Source organism: Homo sapiens, chromosome 20 (assembly GCF_000001405.40).
Source record: "Homo sapiens chromosome 20, GRCh38.p14 Primary Assembly".
NCBI lineage: Eukaryota > Metazoa > Chordata > Mammalia > Primates > Hominidae > Homo > Homo sapiens.
Window position 1 is genome coordinate 3,775,850 of NC_000020.11, and position 6,910 is coordinate 3,782,759.

The 6,910-nt window shown below is 54.1% G+C and overlaps 1 protein-coding gene across 1 annotated transcript, besides 5 other annotated features; it reads right to left on the reverse strand.

Moving 5' to 3' along the window:
- Positions 1-1,654: 1,654 nt before the first annotated feature.
- On the reverse strand, positions 1,655-5,599 carry SPEF1 (sperm flagellar 1). Its single transcript, NM_015417.5, has 7 exons — positions 5,330-5,599; positions 3,815-3,926; positions 3,347-3,503; positions 3,102-3,141; positions 2,897-2,957; positions 2,572-2,695; positions 1,655-2,470 (listed from the first exon to the last, which is right to left on the reverse strand). Exons 1-7 carry the CDS (start codon positions 5,436-5,438, stop codon positions 2,363-2,365), a joined length of 711 nt encoding a protein of 236 aa, NP_056232.2. The 5' UTR covers positions 5,439-5,599; the 3' UTR covers positions 1,655-2,362.
- Positions 2,232-2,481: a silencer, noted in NCBI's record as "silent region_12627". NCBI's record gives its function as "represses an Ori minimal core promoter by ATAC-STARR-seq in GM12878 lymphoblastoid cells {active_cell/tissue: GM12878}" and the evidence as "EXISTENCE:reporter gene assay evidence [ECO:0000049][PMID:35858748]".
- Positions 2,617-3,234: an enhancer, noted in NCBI's record as "H3K4me1 hESC enhancer chr20:3759113-3759730 (GRCh37/hg19 assembly coordinates)". NCBI's record gives its function as "activates a minimal SCP1, AML or CMV promoter by ChIP-STARR-seq in primed H9 embryonic stem cells {active_cell/tissue: H9 hESC(primed)}" and the evidence as "EXISTENCE:reporter gene assay evidence [ECO:0000049][PMID:30033119]".
- Positions 5,493-5,787: an enhancer, noted in NCBI's record as "tiled region #2213; HepG2 Activating DNase matched - State 4:PromP, and K562 Activating DNase unmatched - State 4:PromP". NCBI's record gives its function as "activates a minimal TATA promoter and a strong SV40 promoter by Sharpr-MPRA in HepG2 and K562 cells {active_cell/tissue: HepG2 | K562}" and the evidence as "EXISTENCE:reporter gene assay evidence [ECO:0000049][PMID:27701403]".
- Positions 5,493-5,898: a biological region, named in NCBI's record as "Sharpr-MPRA regulatory region 2213".
- Positions 5,749-5,898: an enhancer, noted in NCBI's record as "active region_17483". NCBI's record gives its function as "activates an Ori minimal core promoter by ATAC-STARR-seq in GM12878 lymphoblastoid cells {active_cell/tissue: GM12878}" and the evidence as "EXISTENCE:reporter gene assay evidence [ECO:0000049][PMID:35858748]".

Below are 6,910 nucleotides of genomic sequence, written 5' to 3' on the forward strand. Positions count from 1 at the left end.
TGTCTTTGATGAAGTAAGCTACCATACTGGAGATGGCTATGTGTCAAGGAAATGAGAGTGGCTATTGGCCAACAATGAGTAAAACACTGAAGCTTTCAGTTTGACAGCCCACTAGGAAGTAAATTCAGTCAGCAACCAAGTAAGCCTGGAAGCCTGGATCCTTCCTCAGTTGTGCCTTCAGATGAGACTGCAGTTCTATTGGCCCTTTGCTTGCAGCCTTGTAGGAAACATTGAAGTGGAGGACCCAGCCAAGCCTGGCCTGGACTCTTGACCCACAGAAAATGTGAGATATAATAATAAGTATTTGTTGTTCTAAGCTGCTACATTGGTGATAATTTGCTACACAGTAAGAGATAATGTATACAGGTTCTTTTCATTTCTTTTGCTATTACAAAGAGTGTTTCTGTGGGCCAGGCATGGTGGCTCACGCCTGTAATCCCAGCACTTTTGGAGGCCAAGGCAGGTGGATCACTTGAGGTCAGGAGTTCGAGGCCAGCCTAGCCAACATGGTGAAACCTGTCTCTACCAAAAATATAAAAAATTAGCCAGATGTGGTGGCATGCACCTGTAATCTCACATACTTGAGAGGCTCAGGCAGGAGAATCGCTTGAACTCAGGAGGTGGAGGTTGCAGTGAGCCGAGATCGTGCAATTGCACTCCAGCCTGGACGACAGAGCAAGACTCCATTTTAAAAAAAACAAAACCAAACAAAAAGAGTGTTGCTATGAACGTTGTTGTAACATGTCTCCCAGAACACAGAACACAAGAGCCTAGGTTTCCCTTGGGTATGTGCTGGGTATATGCCTAGGAATGGAATTGTTAGATCTCAGGATGTTTGTTTTGTTTTGAGACAGAGTGTCCTTCTGTTGCCTAGGCTGGAGTGCAGTGGTGCGATCTTGGCTCACTGCAACCTCTGCCCCCCAGCTTCAAGCAATTCTCCTGCCTCAGCTTCCCAAGTAGCTGGGACTACAGGTGCCCGCCACCACGCCTGGCTAATTGTTCGTATTTTTAATAGAGATGGGTTTTCACCATTGGCCAGGCTGGTCTTGAACTCCTGGCCTCAAGTGACCCACCTGCCTTGGCCTCCCAAAGTGGTGGGATTACAGGCCTGAGCCACCATGCCCAGCTGGATCTCAGGATTTACAAATGTTCCACATTACTGGTAGTCAGAAAACCATTAAAGTTAGGGTCATGCCATGGCTGTAGTGTGTTGGCCAGGGTTGGGAGTAAAGCCTGGCCTCAATCCATGGAAGTTGGGATTGTCTGTGGGCAGGGTTGGAGTCGTACAGAGGGCCGAGTTAGGGGTCAGTCCTTACGTAGGGTTGAGGGTGAGTGTGTGGCCACATTTGGGAACAATTTGAAGTCTGGTTTGGGGTTGGGTTTGGACAAGGTTGGAGAACACTGTGAGGGTGGGTTTGGGGGTCAATCTAAGGCCAGGGTTAGAAGTTAGGCTGTCATCCTGTGCAAAACCTGACCCCTGGTGATATCATCAACCTACCAAGCTGTGGCCGCACAGGACCCAGCCACCCACAAGATGAGATCCACTCTGGGTCCAGAAAGCTCTTTCACTCAAGGCGGGGGTGGGGAGATGGAGGACAAGTGAAGAAGAAACTGGCTCCCCTCAGATGCAAAAAGAGAAGGCAGGCACAGGAAATAGAACACAACACTGACTTTAATGGGGCAGCCCTGAGCCGTAACCTTCAAACCTTCCGCCTCAGTACCCCGTGCGCGAGGAGGGAGGGGCGACTGCTACGGGCACATCGTCGATGTCCTCCCTACTCCTGGCGATCCCACGCCTCACCCCTTCCTCTCCAGCTGCTGCGGTCTCCGTCGCCGAGGTGGGTCCCAGGTAAGCTCCCAGGAGGGGCAGGGGAGCCCCTCAGCGGCCCGGGACAGATTCCCCCATGGCTGAGGGCATGGGGAACTAGCCTGGATGGAGACGCCGCCGTCCTCGGAGCTGGGCGGGGACCTGATTCTGGGGGTGTGGACAGAGCCAAGGGACCGCCCCCCAAGGCCCAGCGCCGGGAGATGCAAGGCCGGGCCCAAGGTGTTGGACACTGCTTTGGGGGACAGGCTAGGTCTCTGCACGTGGCTTCTGGGCTCTGGAAAGCGGTCCATTCTCCTGACCCGGATCTCCGGAGTGGTAGGAGGCGGCTCAGTCCCGGGCCTGCGCTCCTAGAGTTCCTGTCCCATCTCCTCCCACGCTCACCCATCCCAAGGAAGGAGGGCACTCGGGCCCCAGCAGGCTCGTGAGAGCAGCGGGCTCCGCCCTCCCAATGGTCTATCCATCGGTGGGTGGGTCCGGCGCGGCGTCGGGGCTCTGGCGGGTACCCGGGCGTCCCCGCGCGGCCCGGGCCGCCGCTCACCGCTGCTTACGCTCCGCCTGCTGGAGCCGCCGGGAGAGGTCTTCGATCCGCACATTCTTGAGCTGGAGCAGGTGCTCCAGGCGCCTTACCTTCATCTGCAGGACCTAAGCCGCACCGCGCAGGCGTCAAGCCTGGCGGTCTGCTCCCTCCTGCCCGGCCTCTGCTGGCCGCGAGCCCCCACCCGCAGCCTTCCTAGACCCCTCACCTGCACGGTCTCTTGAGAGGCCAACAGCTCCTGCTCCTTTTCAGCGATCTGGAGGACGAAGCTGGGGTCGCCCTGCAACGCCCGGTTATACGCTGGAGGCCGAGGCGCCGGCGGCCGGTCCCAGCTGGGGTGGGAAGCAGCTTAGCGGAGGCTTGGACCTCGGGCCCTACACTCACCCTTCCAGGGCCCTCGACCAGGCCTTCCCTTCTCCCCCTCTAGCCCCTTTCCTGCCTCCCGTCTCAGGCTCAGCGTACCGTGCCCCCCAACCCCAGCTGTGTGCAGAGATCACCAGCCTGGTGAAGTCTGGAACTCCCAGCTTCTTTACCTGAGCTGACCCCCTCCCTGGGGGTCCGGGACACCTTCACCTCGGGCCTTCTGGGATACACCTGAGACAAGGCAAGTGGAGGAATGACTGTGCTGGAGTCTCATTCTCCTGCTTCCCCCTCCCTACTTCCACTCTCACAAGTGACAGGAAGAAGGACAGAAGGAAAGCTCCAACCGGGAGGGAGAAATGGAAAAGGCCACCTTACCCACATCCATGTAGCCACTGCCATCCTGGGGAGCCAGCTCCTGAAAGAACCCCGGGGGTCCGCTGTAAGCCCGGGCTCAGTCATCCCCAAGGAGCCCCATGTCCCTTCCACGGGCCCCCAGGCCAGGCTCTATTAGCCAAGCACCCCTCCCCCACACTTATCACCCAGGCTGGCCTTTCTGTGGTCTGGGGAGCGCCCCCCACCCAGCCCCCAGAGCAGTGGGAGAAGCTGGAGCGGGGTGGCACCTGTAAGGAGCCGGCGCCCTGCTTCCTGCGCCTCTGCCTCTCCTCCAGGCGCTGCCTCAGCGGGATGAGCACCAGCTCCACCACGCCTGGGGCGCACTGCGCGATCTTGCGCATCACGTCATCCGGTACTGAAAAGTTCAGCCTCTTCAGTACCTTCCTGAGGGGTAGACATTGGGATAGCAGATTGGGTCCTGGGGAAATGAAGCGAGGGGATGGGGGAGAGGGAAGGGGGCATGGTGGTTGCTGTTCTGAGTGTACAGCCCTGGGGGAGTGAAAGCGCATCGCATCTGAGCTTCCTTGTGTGGGTGTTCCGAGGTTCCTTGCCTCCTTCCTAATAGAAGAGTCTCTTGATTTTGTAATCGGACGAATTCTGTCTGCGTTGACCCTCCCCACCCTGCCACCAAAACAGTCTCAGCCTGGGCAACCAAGACCATAGGAGATGATGGGGCTGCACAGGTATTCTGCTACCTGTTCAGATGACCCCAGTTGCTGAGCTTCTGCTGGAGAGAGTTGGCGGGGACATAATTGTGCATCTCCACCATCTTGGGGAAGTAAAACTTGATGACCTCTGCAACAAGGACTGAGGGAGAGGGGAGCAGACATGGAAAGTGGGGGCATGGGTAAGGAAGGAGGAGGTGAGAGAAGGTGGGGGTGGGAGAATCAGGCATGGCAGAGTGGTGGAACCCAATGGAGGGGTGGAGATGCGGAAAGGGGAAGGATAAGGAGGGAGACAAAGACATTAAGATTAGTGATAGGTAGAGGAGACTAAGTCTCCAGCATACCTCAGAGGAGCTGCATCCCTTCCCCACTAATTTAGGAATGGGAATACTGAGTCTCTGGTCCTCCAGTAGAGAATGAGTCAGCCAGTGCAGGGGCTCACACCTGTAATCCCAACACTTTGGGAGGCTGAGGCGGGTAGATCACCTGAGGCCAGGAGTTCGAGACCAGCCTGGCCAACATGGTGAAACCCCATCTCTACTAAAAATACAAAAGTTAGCCAGGTGTGGTGGTGCATGTAAACCCAGCTACTTGGGTGGCTGAGGCAGAAGAATCGCTTGAACTCAGGAGGTGGAGGTTGCAGTGAGCTGAGATCATGCCACTGCACTCCAGCCTGGGCGACAAGAGTGAGACTCTGTCTCAAAAAAAAAAAAAAAAAAAAAAGAGAATGAGTCTCCAAGAGAAGCTTTCAGGAGCCCAGGGAATTCACATGGATGCATGATGCACACACACACACACACACACACACACACACACACTCCAACACCAAAGTTCCAGGAGAGTAAAAGACTCACGTAAGCAGAGACACATGTGATAAGATCCCCCTACACATAGATACATAGGGCAGAATGTGTAGACACATAGAACAAACACATGCTAGACACACATAGGCACACATGTAGAACACACATAGACAGAAGCACAAAAAGCCACATATGCACACAGCCTCCCCAAATATACAGATACAGAGATGCATAGAAGTACTTGACATGAAAAGATGACAGATAAGTATTTCTGTCATTGAGATCCCAGGAGACATTCCTAGAAACACAAACACCTTCACAATCACAAAGAAACACATGCACACAAGACCCCCCCAAATACAAGACTAAACATGTCAACACATATGAACACACACATGCTCAGACTCCCAGAAGACATAGAACACATAGCAATGAGTGAGCACATACAGAAATGCATAAATACATATGCAGACACATATCTTAATCATTAATGTCCCTGGAGGGAGTTAGAGGCACCCCCCCCAACATGCACACAGGATAGAACATGTAGACATACATATATGGACACACATCGTTCACACACAGATGCAAATAGAAAACAAGCACACACATCTAAAATTTGAAGTCCCAGGAGGCAGATTCCTCCCCACTCCCACAAGCACACAAACACAAAGAGTTTGCACAGAGACCCGTTACACACGAACATACAGGACAGAACATGCAGACACACAAGGGCACACACCTCCATCGCTAAAGTCCCGGGAGAGGTTTCGCTTGGGCCGGGACAGAGGGATGTTGTCTACCCACAGGTACAGCTGGTGCAGCGCCTCCTCGTCCACGCTGCTCGCCATTGGCGTCCTCACGGCCTGGCCGCCCCAGCGGTGCCGGGTCCCGCCCCAGCCTCACGACCCTTCAGGCGCTTCCTTTCTCGCCACTGCAGAAGCCCATAACTGCCTCTGCCTGCCTAATCCAGAGACTCACGTCCCAGCTGGGAGCGGCCATATTGTTTTCTGAAACCATGGAAACCATTCCCGACTCTCCTGGGTACAAAGACTTCTGGGAGTTGTAGTTTTATCCCCTCCCCGCTACCTCCTCTCAGGCCCGAGCTTTGAAAAGGCGGTTAGCTGCCCTTGTCTTCTTCCCAAGAAAGCATCACTTCTGTGCCCACGCCACCTAGTGACCAGCCACTCATCCATTTTGGGACCAGCCAAAGCCAACCAGGACCCCAGAATTCCTGCATCTGCACCCCTAGGGTGGGGATCCCCCTTCTTGGCCCTTCAGCCCTTTAGTCCCAAGTGAAGGGAGCACTCCAGTGTTGGTCAGCTTTATTTGGGGGTGCGTTGTTGATAATCTGCCACCCAAATGGATTGCGTGATACAACTGCTTCCTGCTTCGTCCCTCTCCAAAAACTCTATGCTCATGGGGCCATTGCCACTCGCCCTTCCCAGCAGTGTTCTAGTGGGGTATTTAATAGGTAACCCAGACTCCCAGGGAGAACACCAGAGTTCAAGGCCAGTACCTTGGCAGGTCATTTAACTTCTTAACTCTATTTCCTCCTTTGTGAAATGACGATGGTTCTCACTTATTTGTCCCAAACCCCTCATCACCCGTCAATGAGCTATTCTTCCATGGATTAGAAATTCATTTCAGGCAGGGCACAGTGGCTCATGCCTGTAATCCCAGCACTTTGGGAGGCCGAGGCGGGCAGATCACCTGAGGTCAGGAGTTCGAGACCAGCCTGGCCAACATGGCTTTCGCCCCGTCTCTACTGAAAATACAAAAAAAAGTTAGCCATGTGTGGTGGTGGATGCCTGTAATCCCAGCCACTGAGGAGGCTGAGGCAAGAGAATCGCTTGAACCCGGGAGTCAAAGGTTGGTGAGCCAAGATCATGCTATTGCACTCCAGCCTAGGCGACAGAGCGGGACTCCATCTCAAAAAAAAAAAAAAAAGAAAGAAAAGAAAAGAAAGAAACAAATTCATTGCAGTACCCATAAGGGGGTTAGGAATATGGGTCCCTCCTTAGTGAAGAGGTACTTCTAGAGTCAGGATGAGAAGAGAGTTTGACTAACGGCATGGCCTTGGGCACCTGACCGGACCGCTGCCTGGTTTCTCATGGCTTTACCTACCTTATAGGGGCTTTGTGAGCATCTAAAGCATTTAGCACAGAGCAGGGGCCCTATTAGTATCAGCTGGTACTATCATTAATGAGACAGTCTCAGTTCCAGCAAGAACTGTTCTTTTTCGCAGGAGACAAATGGAAGTAATTCGTCTTGTTGGAACCTGCGGTGAGGTAGCTGGGTTAAACAGGAGCACCTGGGCAAG

Coding starts and splice junctions, on each gene's coding strand:
- SPEF1 (NM_015417.5), bottom strand. CDS start 5,438: ATGGCGAGCAGCGTGGACGAGGAGGCGCTGCACCAGCTGTACCTGTGG. Junction 3,927..5,329: donor CCGGGACTTTAGCGATGGAG/GTGTGTGCCCTT, acceptor CCTCTCCCTCAG/TCCTTGTTGCAGAGGTCATC. Junction 2,696..2,896: donor CAGGGAGGGGGTCAGCTCAG/GTAAAGAAGCTG, acceptor TTCCCACCCCAG/CTGGGACCGGCCGCCGGCGC.